Source organism: Homo sapiens, chromosome 18 (genome assembly GCF_000001405.40).
Source record: "Homo sapiens chromosome 18, GRCh38.p14 Primary Assembly".
Lineage (NCBI taxonomy): Eukaryota > Metazoa > Chordata > Mammalia > Primates > Hominidae > Homo > Homo sapiens.
In genome coordinates, this window is record NC_000018.10 from 56,178,859 (window position 1) to 56,192,183 (window position 13,325).

At 38.2% G+C, this 13,325-nt stretch overlaps 1 long non-coding RNA gene across 1 annotated transcript in view; it reads right to left on the bottom strand.

The window, feature by feature from the left end:
* LINC03069 (long intergenic non-protein coding RNA 3069) overlaps nt 1-12,404 on the bottom strand; it is a 187,650-nt gene extending 175,246 nt beyond the window's left edge. The window contains exons 1-3 of the long non-coding RNA NR_148972.1: nt 11,906-12,404; nt 9,420-9,492; nt 2,491-2,616 (exon numbers count right to left, since the gene is read on the bottom strand). This is a non-coding gene — a long non-coding RNA (long intergenic non-protein coding RNA 3069). The remainder of the gene's footprint in view (nt 1-2,490; nt 2,617-9,419; nt 9,493-11,905) is intronic.
* Between the last annotated feature and the right edge of the window lie 921 nt (nt 12,405-13,325).

Sequence of the window (13,325 nt, forward strand, 5' to 3'; positions counted from 1 at the left end):
TGAAGGTAAGATGTTTATCACACGGTTCTCATAAGACCAAAGACATTTATCGATTTTTTTCTGATGGCCACATCAGAGATTACAATTTGCAGAAATTTCAGAAAACATGGAAAAGCACAACTTTTTTTAAAAAAGAGTCACCAGTATAAGCACCAAGAAATAACCATTGTTCATATTTTGGTGTCTCTCTAATAAATCTAGTTCTCCAACTTGCAAATTACAATTTGCTTCATGGGAAAAGTCCCATGCAGAGTTAGTGAATTTGACCTTTGCCCATGATGGGGGCAGTCAGAGAACTTTATCTCATTTGTGCCTTTAGAGCTTACAGTTTTGGGACCCATAAGCCTGGTTCTAAAATCAAGCCCTGGAAAGCAAACAAGAACAGTGTTATTGTCTGAATGTTTCTGTCCCCCCAAAATTTAGATGATGAAACCTAATTACCAATGTGACGGTATTAGGATGGAGCCTTTTGGAGGTGATTAGGTCATAGTGGCAGAGCACCCATGAATGGGATTAGGGCCCTTATAAAAGAGGCCCAGACAGATTCCTTATCTCTTCCACCATGTGAGGACACAGCTAGAAGGTGCCATCTATGAACCAGAAAGAGAGCCCTCATCAGACACTGAGTCTGCTGGCATCCTCACCTTGGACTTCCCAGTCTCCAGAACTGTGAGAAATCGATCTCTGTTGGTTTCTGTTTATAAGCCACCCAGTTTATGGTATTTTGTTATAGCATCCTAAACAGACTCAGACAAACAACAAATAAATTGTTGCTAAAACCAAAAGGATTAAGAGAATATTCAAAGCCAAAGCAGTTAGTGAATCCTGCGACTTGAGAAGACAACAATGGGCAAGGAATTAAATAGCCAACATGTGGGAATAGTTTGAAAAACTGCTCAAAATTGAGGTAACAGGGGCGAATGTTGGTATGAAAGGCAGGCACATGGGAAACAGTATTAGTTCATACATTAACTTGAGGATGGATTGAAGAGGATTTAAAACTTAAGGGGAAAATAAAATCAGAATTCAAATTTCAAAAGTACCCACTACGAGAAAGCTGAAAAAGTGTTCGTAGTCATAAAGTATTTTTTATATAAAGAGATGAAAGGAAAAATTTTAATCATAGAGATGTTGATGATAAATTGAACTGTTCAGCACTTACATATATATTTGATATTGGATACACTCAACCACATTTTAAAGACAGTACCTATCCTTCCTCCTGCATTCTTAATATAACAGCTTCACAGTTTCCCATAGAGGAACATTATTTCATCAATAATATGCTTGCTTTTGATATGAAGCTTATAATGTCTTCATAATTAAAATATGCTGAGAAGTTGTCAAAGTCTTTGATTTGTATGTGTATGTATGTGTGTTTATTTTAAAAATACATTTAGTCATAGTTCAAATATTAGTTCTCTTTGAAGTTCTCTTGGAACTTGTGGGTCAGAGGGGAAAATCATGGATTCATCTACTAATCAGTGTGTCTCCCTGAATATCAGAGAATGTTTCAAAATCTAAATCTGCACATAAATAAAGGTTTTAACTGTGAGAAAAAGCTGAAGGTATACAAAAAGAAGAAAAACATACCTAAATGTTTTGTCTAGTATTTGTAGTGCTAAAAGGTAATTGTCATTATTTTCTTCATTCTTAAACATTTCAGAGTTCACCGAAAATTTTAAAAGTTTAAGGCAGTGTTTCTCAGATTATTTTAGGTTACCAGTCATGAAAGATTCTGCAGTAAAAAGGGCTCTGAGTTCAAATAAACTAAGGAAGTTCTCCCTCCTATCAGTCACTAAGTTATTCACTTGGAACTTTCCAAATCACATTAGTACATTTAAAGTCTCTGTTAAGTCCTGTAACAAAGACATGTGCTTGCTTCGTCTTATTATTTGGTTCCCCCACATAATTATCCTTTTGGATACATATTTTGACTATCAGTCTGGGTGTTCTTTTTATGAAACACCAGAGATGATATCCTAACTATATAACAACAAATATAGCAGGGAAATGATCACTTAGAAGGGACACTGGCTGTAAACAACCTGTATCACCATATGACTGCATCCTGGCAGCATACTAGAGCTGATCATTCCTATTAAGAACGCCATGAAACTGTTAATTTAATTCATTTGGGGATACACTAGCCAAAAAGACACTAAAATTAGATTTTTCCAATATTACATATTAAATATTAAATTTTGCCTCTACACTAAATAAAAATAAAGGCAATATTGATTTAAATTTTTTTTATTTTTATAGTACTTATGGAACTTCATAGACTATAGATGGATCCTGGTTTAAAATGGTAGGTTAAAACTCTATTAGAGAATCTCTCACCTTTGATATACAAGGATATGATTATTCATACAAATAAAGAGACATAATGAAATAAGCATCAATGAGTAGTTACCATGGAAGTAAGCAGAAGATTCTGGAGAGTGAAACAGAGGCTGGGCATAGTTCAGCTCCAAACTCTGCCCTTACCTTTTAGAGACTACGTTAGTGAGTCCACAAATCCTTAGTAGGGTCTCTAACATCCACCATTCTGGAGAGAAACACACAGAATAGGTATCTGCAATTTTCATTCTTCTGACCGGTGGTGGAACCAGCCTGTAGGAAGAAATGGAAAAAGGTGTCGTGGGTCTGACTCTCAGATGAAGTGAAGGCTTCAGGGCTACACAAGGAATTGCAAGAGCAAGCTGCACCCTAACAGTAATGGTACATGCCCCCTAAATATGTAGATAAAATTCTGATAAAGAATAATATCTCCACTTGGTCGAAGAATACAAAATTTCAGTTAGGAGGAATAATTTCAAGAGCGCTATTGTACAACATGGTGATTATAGTTAATAACAATGTACTGAGTACTTGAAAATTGCTGAGAATAGACTTTAAATGTTCTCACCACAAATAAATATGTGAGGTAATGCATATGTTAATTAACTTGATTTAGCCATTCAACAGCATGTATGTACATATTTCAAAACATTGCATTGTACATCATAAATATATACAATTTTTACATGTCAATTTAAAAATATATATATTTTTAAGTTAAGAAAAGGAATAATATCTCTGAGGGAGCACAGCTCAGTTATTCTAACAAGGACATCTTTTGCATCAGCTAAAGGCTCTAACTTTGCTATCTGTATTCATCCATTTTCATACTTCTATGAAGAAATATCTGTGACTGGGTAATTTATAAAGAAAAAGAGGCTGAATGGGCTCACAGTTCCACATGGCTTGGGAGGCCTCACAATCATGGTGGAAGGTGAAGGAAGAGCAAAGTCACGTTTTTCATGGCTGCAGGCAAGAGGGCATGTGCAGAGGAACTGCCCTTTATGAAACCATCGGATCTCATGAGACTTACTCATTATCACGAGAACAGCATGGGAAAAACCCACCCCCATGATTCAATTACCTCCCGCTGGGTCCCTCCCACAGCATGTGGGGATTATGGAAGCTACAATTCAAGATGAGTTTTTGGTGGGGACACAACCAAACCATATCACTATCCCTCAGACTGCTAAGAAATCAATAGAACAGAGTATTGATTAGGAATTGCCTTCAACTATAGGCAACAGAGGCCTGATTACAGTGGCTTAAAAATCAAAAGCTTAATATTTTACATGGAAGAATTCCAAAGGCAGGTAATCCAGGGTTAGGATAGTAAAACCATAAATTTATAATGCACTCAAGTTTCTTCTTTCTTTTCTGTCATCAGTAGCATGTGACATTTATTCTCAAAGTTTCAGTATGGTTGCTGAAGATCCAGCCATCACATTTACACTCCAGGAAGGAAGGAGGTAAAGAGCAAGAAAAAAAAAATCTCCTATCTAAGTTGTATCTTTTAATAAAATTTCCCAGAAGCCTTATTTAATTACTTGCAAATATATCTCAGTGACGACTACTAGCTACAAATCAAGCTGGGAAATATAATTGTATCTATCAGAGCACATTGCTCCATGGGGAAAAAGAAATCAATGGTCCCTTACTAAGGAAAAGGAGGATAGATATAAGTAGACAACTAGTAATGTTTACTACAAATTATAAGTAACCAGCAATCAAACTGTATCTGTGAGGGAAAAACAAACTGGTCTCAGATTCAGTGGAAATAAAACCCAAATTCTCCAAACAGTACATCAGACTCAATACAATTTCTAAAACTAGGTAAAAATACCATAGCCAAACAAGAACAAAAACAAAACAAAACAAAAAGATGGAAAAGAAAGAAAGGAGAATATAAAGATAAATCAGAAGAAGGAAATTATCGGGCAACATTCAGGAAAAAGTCTCAATCTAGAACAAAAATTTGGATTTATTTGTTTCTGTTTCCTTCCAATGTTATAGTGATGGCTTTTTAAATTTAAATTTTGTTTCATGCTTATGTAAAATACTTACAAAGTATTTTGACTTGGGAAGTCAAAACCATAAATAAAAGGTATATTCAGATAAGTCAAACTTCTATCCCTCTTTCACTTTTTAGGTAATTGATATGGTTTGGTTCTGTGTCCCCAGTCAAATCTCATGTTGAATTGTAATAATACCCATATGTTATGGGAGGGACCTGGTGGGAGGTAACTGAATCATGGGGGCAGGTTTTTCCCATGCCATTCTTGTGATAGTAAATAAGTCTCACAAGATCTGATGGTTTTATAAAGAACGGTTCTCCTACACATGCTCTCTTGCCTGCTGCCATGTAAGATGTGACTTTGCTCCTCATTCACCTTTAGCCATGATTGTGAGGTCTCCTCAGCCAAGTGGAACTGTGGGCCCATTAAACCTCTTTCTTTTATAAATTACAGTCTTGGTAATTCTTTAATAATGACATGAGAACAGACTAATATGGCAATTTAAAAAAATGATTGTCTTCTGTTTTTCAAATAGTTCACTTTATGTCAATATTTAGAAATATTACTCTCTTGTGTGGATGCACCATGCTTTTAGTCAATCTAATACTGTTGATGGACATTTGGGTTGTTTCAAGTCTTCATTATTACATATAATGCTGGAATCAGTAGGCTATAATAAACATCTCTTCAGTTTTTGACAGTGTATCTTTGTGATAGTTTTCTAAAAGTGGGATTTGAAGATCAGAGCTTATGGGCGCATACTTTTTCTAGACATTGTCAAATTCCCTTCCACAAGTTGGTACCGTCTTATATTCCTATCAGGAGAGGGCTGTTTCTCCACAGCTTTCCTAATGCAGTGTGCTATGAAAGTTTGGAATTTTGCCGATTTGAGACACGAGAGATAATATCTTAATGTAATTTTATTTTTTTTAACTTCATTTTCTTTCCAACTTTTATTTTAGTTTCAGGTGTACATGTGCAGGTTTGTACATGTGTAAATTGCATGTCTCAGGGGTTTGCTGTACAGATTATTTTGTCACCCAGGTGATAAAAATAGTACCCAATAGGTAGTTTTTCAATCCTCACCCTCTTCCCAACCTCCACCCTCAAGCAGGCCCCGGTGCCTGTTGTTCATTTCTTTATGCCCATTTGTACTCAGTGTTTAGCTCCTACTTATAAGTGAGAACACACAGTATTTGGTTTTCTGTTCCTGTGTTAATTTGCTTAGGATAATGGCCTTCAGCTCCAACCATATTGCTGCAAAGAACATGATCTCATTCTTTTTTATGATTGAATAGTATTCCATGGTGTATATCTACCACATTTTGTACAACATTTTCTTTATCCAGTCTACAATTGATGGGCATTGAGGTTGATTTCATGCCTTTGGTACTGTAAGAACATATGCCTGTGTATGTCTTTATGGTAGAATGATTTATATTCCTTTGGGTATATATCCAGTAATAGGATTGCTGGGTTGAATGGTAGTTCTGTTTTAAGTTCCTTAGGAAATCTCCAAATTGCTTTCTACAGTGACAGAACTAATTTCCATGCCCGCTAGCAGTATATAAGCATTCTCTTTTTCCCCAACCTTGGCAGCATCTGTTTTGTTCTTTGTTTTTTGGGTTTTTTTACTTTTTAATAATAGTCACTTAATGTAATTTTATTTTGCATTTCTCTTATGAAGAGGAAGGTCAAGCACTTTTTCATAAGTTCAAGAGCCATTTACATCTTTTTTTCCATGAACTATTTCTTCATTTCTTTAGCTCATCCTTCTAGGGTTATTGGTTCCTTTGTTCTTTAATTTGAGAAACTATTCATATATTGGGGACAATACCTTTTGCAATGTCAGTTGTCAACAGACGTAAGTTTTCCCTAAGCCTACAAAAAGGCTGGTGTGGCTTTGACCAGGGTTGAAGCAATGGAGGTGGGAGTAGGGGTGGAATTCTGGAAAACCTTTGAAAACAGAGCCAAGACAATGTCCTGATAGGTTAAAGGTGGGGTGTGTGTGACAGACAGAAAAGTCAAAAATGACTTCAACGTTTTGATTTAAGCATCGGGAAGCCTAGAGATGAAATGACGAATGCTGTGGGCGCAGCAGATTTTACAGGGAAGATTACAAGTTTAATCTTAGGCCTGCGAAGTTTGACATGTTCATCAGACCTCCATGTGGGGGTGTCAAGTAGGTTCAGCTGGAGATTAAAATTTGGAAAATTTCTCAACACAGAGATGGTATTTAAAATCTTGAGACTGGCTAAAATAACCCACTAAGTAAGGTAGAATAAAAAAGAGAAAGGGTCCAAGTACTGAGCTCCAGGGCCTTCGCACAGTAAGAGGCCAGGGAGAAGTGGAGGTGACATCAAAGAAGACTATGCACTTGTGGGGTAGGGAGAGAACCAATAGAAGGTAGAACAAATAAGAAAGTGTGTCCTCATCTGTGTCTCAAAGACATACTCCCACACTATTTCGCATTTACTTGATAGCTTCTCCTTGCACATTTAGATTTTTAACCTATCATGCACTCATCTTTATAAATAGTCTTAGGTAGGGATGCTGGCTTATATTTTTTTCTTCTGCATATGGCAAGCCAGTGTTGCCAACACTACTAGATAATCTCTTCTTTGCCCCAGTGATTTACAGCACTAATCATACTATACAATCATTTCCTGTATATTCATGGACATGTTTTTGAGCTCTCCACTCTATTCCATTGGTGTATTTGTCTGTTCTTGTGCCAGTGCGATGCTGTTTTGATAAACATGGCTTTGTAGTTTATCTTAACATCAGGTAGAGAAAGTTTCCCCTCTTTGTTCTTTTTCAAAGTTGATTTAGGTATCTCTGGATCTTTATTCTTCCAAAGGTTTATGAGGAAGTTTATCAAATTACTCCCCAAAAATTCAATTTGAAAAGAATTGACATCTTTTTACATTTTTGTTTCAATCAGGAGCATGGAAAACTGTTATATTGCATAAGATTATGGTCCATGTATTTTATTAGTCTTAAGTTTTGGTATAAAAAGAATTTTTTGATTAATTCTTGTACATTTTATCCATTTTTTCTATTGCAAATTATATTTTACTTTGTATTACTTTTTTTGCTTGAATATGTAAGTTGACCTTGTACATGGCAACACTGCTCTTTTTTTTAAAATTGTGGTAAAAAGCACATAATATAGCATTTACTATCTCAACCATTTTTAAGTATCCAATTCAACGGTCTTACAATATTCAAATAGTTGTGCACCACATCTCTAGAACTTTTTCATCTTGCAATACTGAAACTGTATACCCGTTGAACAACTCCCCATTTTCCCCTCCCCTAGCTACAATTCCACTTTCTGTTTCTATGTGTTTGACTACTTTAGATACCTTATATAAGTAAAATCATGTAGTATTTGTCTCTTTGTGGCTGACTTATTTCACATAGCATAATGTCCTCAAAGATATGAATACTAATGTCCAGCAAGTTCATCCATGCTGCATCATGTTAAGGATAAGGCATGGAAGAAACCCTACCCATTGGCTGGGTCTAACAACACCTGGCTAGCACAGTAAGTTATATCTGACGGAAAAGAAGATGACTAGAAAAATGGAAGAAGCATCTAGAGCAAAGCAGTCTAATAGAACTTTCTGCAATAATGAAAATTATCTGTAGCAGGTGCTATCCAATATGGTAGCCACTAGACGCAGATAGCTATCACTTAGCACGTGGTTAATGCAACTGTGAAATTAACTCAGTATCAGTTAAGTTTTATTAATTTGTATTTAAAATTAAATAGCCACCCATGTCTGGTGTCTAGCATATTGGACAGCACACTTCAAGAAGAAGCTCTGTATACTGATGAGCTCTGTATACTGTGAGGGCCTGTCTCTGGAAAGGTGGCTGAACACAGGATCACTGCAGGGATCCCCCAGTGAGGCTGCCACAGTTCAAAGAAAAGGTGTGAGTTTACACTTTGTTGATTCCAGAGGAAATAACCCAGAATAGCAAAATTTATTTGGGGGCTGGAATAAAAGGTCTGATCTGTCTACCTGTATAGATCAATCCCCTAAGTCATAGGAGATGAACTGCGCTTAGATCAAAACCATCTTCTTTCTGGAGCTTGTATTATTCTCCCAGGTAGAGCTGGATTCTCTCTTCTCTGTGTAGCAGTGCAGACCTCTACAGCTACATTTATTGCATAGCACCAGAGTAAACAATTTCTTTGGCTGCCTTCCTTTAAGTTCCTTGAGGGCAGGGTCTGTTTTTATATCCCCAGAGACATAAACAATATAAGTGATTTATCAATGTATATGACAGAAAAAGCAGAGGAAAATGTAAAGAAGGAGATATAGATGAAAAGAGGAAGGTAGAATGAAAGGAAGGGAGGGACAGATATCTCTGTAGGATTGCATAAAAATACTCTGGTATTAAAGATAGAACCTCCAGATTCTTACCTGTGTTCATTCCTCTATGTCATGTTAGAATCTTCTATTAAAGATCCTAAAAGGACTCTTAGGACATGACCACAGTGTCACTGTTTTGAGTTATGGAACATCATTTGACCACAAGATTTTCCTTTTCTTCAGTAGCTCAGAAATTTATCTCTAACAGCACACATAGTTGGAACATCAGGAAGTTGTGTCTTAAAACATAGGTGTAGCTAAAGAACAAAGAGATAAAGCCGATTTCTCTGAAGTGATCACCCAGTACTGAAGTGACCCATCATTAAGATCAAAAAGCTGGATACTCAAGTGAAAATTAAATGGTCTAAAGTCTGGAGGACTCTGTGAAGCTGATGAACACGTCTAATAGTGGTAAAAGACTGAGATGAGAAGACAAAGAGACAGGCAGAGGTTTCAGAGATTGAACAGGGCTGAGTGTGGCCAGAAAAGTGTGCCACTGAAACAAAAACAGGGCAAACATATTCTGGAGTTGTCAGAGGAAAAATGAGTATAGAAGGCGATTAGAGGAATTATCTGAAATACACTGAGGATGCCTATTATGACGGTTAGTAGAAATTAAAAGCACAAGTCAGAAAGCAAATCCTGTGGTGTGGGGGATAGAGTGGTGATGACTTACCAGATAACAATAAGGCATAGTGTAGAAGATAATCCGGAAGGACGCAGTACTTCTCCAAACAGATGGAGATTTTCTGCAAGGGTAGAAGAATAATGAGAGTGGCAATGAAGGTCAAAGAACATGCTGCGGTCCTCTCTTTTCCTCTCCTAAGTCACTTGGGCTCCAGGGAGTGAACAACCTCTGCTCTTTCCAGCCCCAGGAGAATCTGTGGCCCCAGGGAAAGCCAAACTTCAGTTAATGCAAGGAGTGTAGTGAGTATTCTTAGAAGACATCCAGGCAGAAGAGGAGGAAATGGAAGAAAGCCCAGTCGAGGTTGGAAATAAGAATGGTGAAGATGGGTTCAAGGAACAAAGGGCAAAGAGTTTTGTAAAGTGGAGCTCCTGTCATGGAGCAGGAGGAAATGCATCTGGACAGATAGTCTGATGACGGTGCCTGGGCAGCCTTGAACTCTGAGTTGAATTCTACAGCCAGCAATGAGCACTCTTCCGGCAGCCTCCAAGTAGGTGATTAATGTGGCAAAAGCTGATGTTTCAAAAAAAAAAAAAAAAAAAAAAGGTTTGGAGTGCTGGGCAGGATGAATGAAATAAGAAAGAAATTTGAATCGAGGATTTGTCCCTCCTGGGGCCTGTGAAAACCCCATTTGACCTCGTACACCAGATTTACAAAAGAAGAGCCTATGGAGCTGTTATCTTTAACATCTTCAATACACTAGATGTGGCTTGAGAAGGCATTGGTTAGGCTCCTCTGAATGGAATCAATTGTTTCTGACCATCTGAGTGGTTGAGGGCAGAGCAGTAGATCATCCAGTGAAGTGATCCGTCAACCCAGACAGCTTAACATCTGAATTACGATGCATGGCCTGATGGGTCACTGCAGTCATTGTCCAGCACGCAACCTTCTAACAGCCAAGTTAACACAGCACATAGCCATGGCATCTGCCTTAAAAGCCTGGAGTGGAGAAAAGGAGTCCTGGCACAGGTCAGTGTCGAGGTGAAACCTTTTATCTTCATCCTGTCACATTATTTGTCATTTCCATATGGGCCACTGACAGCTGTCAGTCAAGTAAAGCTTACCCTGCCGCTGGCAATCTCAAGGCATACAAAAAAGAGACTAACGAAAGCCTGTCTTAATTAGGTGATAATTAAACATTCCAGCCAGAAACCTCCAATCAGTCTGACAGAACACACCCGTTCAAAACATGGTTTTGCAGCGATATTCCAACAGACTGATAAGGTTTTGCCTCTCTGGGAATTAAAAAAAAAAAAAAAAGTTCAAGGTTCATCAAGTATTTTGCAGATTTGACGTGAGGATTAAGCAGGAATAAATATACCTAAAGGGAATCAAGAAACGGGGAGCGTCCCTAGGGAACTGCATTCCTCTCCTCCTGCGAAGACAGTCAGGTTACAACCAGCACCCAGAGGCGCAGTCTCAAAGGTGGAAAAGAAGCGAGAAAGGGCCTGCGTTCTGACAGTGCTGCGCATGCTCACGCCGTGCGCATGCTCAGAACGAATTACAATAGACGCGTTTCTCCCACGTTGCCTCGCTAATGGCGTGGATGGGTACAAGGAGCACTGCGTGTGTACCTGTGAGCCTCAGCTCCTTCTAATTTAGTGACAGAGCTACCATTCTCATCTCCACATAGTATCTCCTGAGTAACTGTCCAGTTCTCAGGCGGCTTAACTCCCACTAAGCCCCGAAGAGATAGATTTTCTATTTTTTAAAACGCAAGCCCCTATAAAGGGATAGACGGTGCTTCTTTTAAAGAGCTTTTAAATATTATTAAACTCAAATTTTCCTCTCTAGCAGGTTCATGGCATGTAGAGTTAAATATAGAAAGAGCGTTTGCACAAAGCCTGTATTTGATTAGTTCCCTTCTTAACTGATATAATTAAATATTGAATTGACCCAGAGTGCTGAATATTACTTTCTGGTGGGACCTGTGCCACCAAATACCTAAAAGCCTTTAGTTGTTTCTTTGCTGCAATGGATCAAATTAAGCTGCAGTTCCCCAGGCCTCATTTGACCTAAAACTGTTTTAATGCTGAAATGCTTTTCCAGGTATCTTGCCAGTTGCCGTTGATCTAAGACTTAATAAGACATCACTTGGGGTTCCAGCAGCAGCCTGTATGGGGCTGAACAGTCTAACAGTGGGGCACTTCTGGAAAAAATTCCTAAGTTCTATTTCTATTTTATAGCTATCACCAATACACAAACACACATGCCCCACCACCCCCAAGAGGGAGGCATTACTTGTAGTACTGGTGTTATTCCTTAGAAATCTTACTACAAGGAACTTAGACATTTTATCTTTACAGCTAAACTCTAACATTAAGAGGCAAATTAAAAAGAGGAAAACTAAAGCCTCTGATGAGCTGGGAGTCAAGGACATCAAGATAGGAGATCCATTAGACTAGAAGTTTCCCATACCATTCAACTCAGGCAGTTTCTGTAGAACCACTCACAAAGATTTAACAATTTTCACCAACCTTATGAAGAGTTGCATAACTCCACTTCTTCCTCTTCATGTTCAGTTTTTCAGGGTCTCCTCCTTTGTTTCTTCTGAGATAAGAACCCAATATCCAATTCTTTAATTTGCCATTCTCAAACAAAAGCAACCACATTTTCAGTCAACTTCAAAAGTATTTTGATGTCACTGTTACGACTCAGTGTGTTTTCCTCTCTTCATGTGATTGAAATCCCTTTGTAAACTCTGAGAAAACTTGTTCTGAATTTTTTAAGAGGTTCAGCATGTTCAACCAGAAAACTTGTTCGTGCAGAACAGGAGTACATACCTCGAAGCTTCTGTTTCTAAGAGTTTATTGCTGGCTGAAGTAAAGGTTCTGATGGCCAGGATCAAATCATTCACCAAGGACACTGAGTGGTTTCTATTGCTGAATCTTGCACTTTGCTTCCCAAATAAAGTGTTTCCACCCGAAAGACCATTTTTAAGGGGCTGCTTCACTGTCTCTTCCTCCCACGCTAATTAATTTTTGGTTTCTAAGTCCTTAGTGTTTCTGCATTTGAATACTTCACTAAAAAACAATTAATCTGCTTGTGTGAAGAAGTGCGGGTCTAAGTACACTCAGATTAATTATTTGCCAAAGACTCTTTCAAATTATCTCTATCCCTGGTCCCAGGTAGTTACTTATCTATAGGGGAGGTGGCATACCTAATTGTAATCCTGATAAATAAATATATGGTTTTGAAGTTTGCTGTTTGTACTGGTCATTTGCCTGTTGGCTGTCAGATCCATTCACACTTCCTTCCCTCGTTCTGCTCTGTAGAGAGCTAATCTCTACAAGTTATAATTCCCAGATGCTCTTGCTCACTGGCTTCCATTAAGGTTAAATCAATGGGCAGCACTGGTGGAAACTGGAGGGTGGGAGGGGAGAGCGGCCCACCTCCTCATCCCTCACGTAGTACCTCCAACAGCTCCATCGTAGTTGCAGCCCATGTCGTGGTCCCAGCTCCCACCAGACTTTCTTCGTAGTTCTAGCTCCCACCTGTTAGTCAATCTGGACTCCCATCTTTTCCCTTTATGACCCTAAGAGTAGCAGCACCTCACCTATTTTCAGCCCCTCCAGCAACTCTATAGTGAATTACTTTTATTAAATTCCTTCAATTGAAATATCTGGCTTGTGCTCTCTTTGGAACATTAGTAATAGAGTTTTATTAATTCCACAATTTAAAAATGTTTTAATAGTTACAATTTAGAAAGCAGGTATAGAGTAAAAAATAGAAATCAATACCACTAAACACATACAGAGAAACATTTCCCTGTGCAGCAGGAAGGAGTAAATTATGCCATGAGGAAACACAAGCAATGTGGATGAGCTGGCCATCTTTGTTTGTAAACGAGGAACACAGGCTGAGAATGCCCAGCCACACATGCCATCAGCAGTGGCA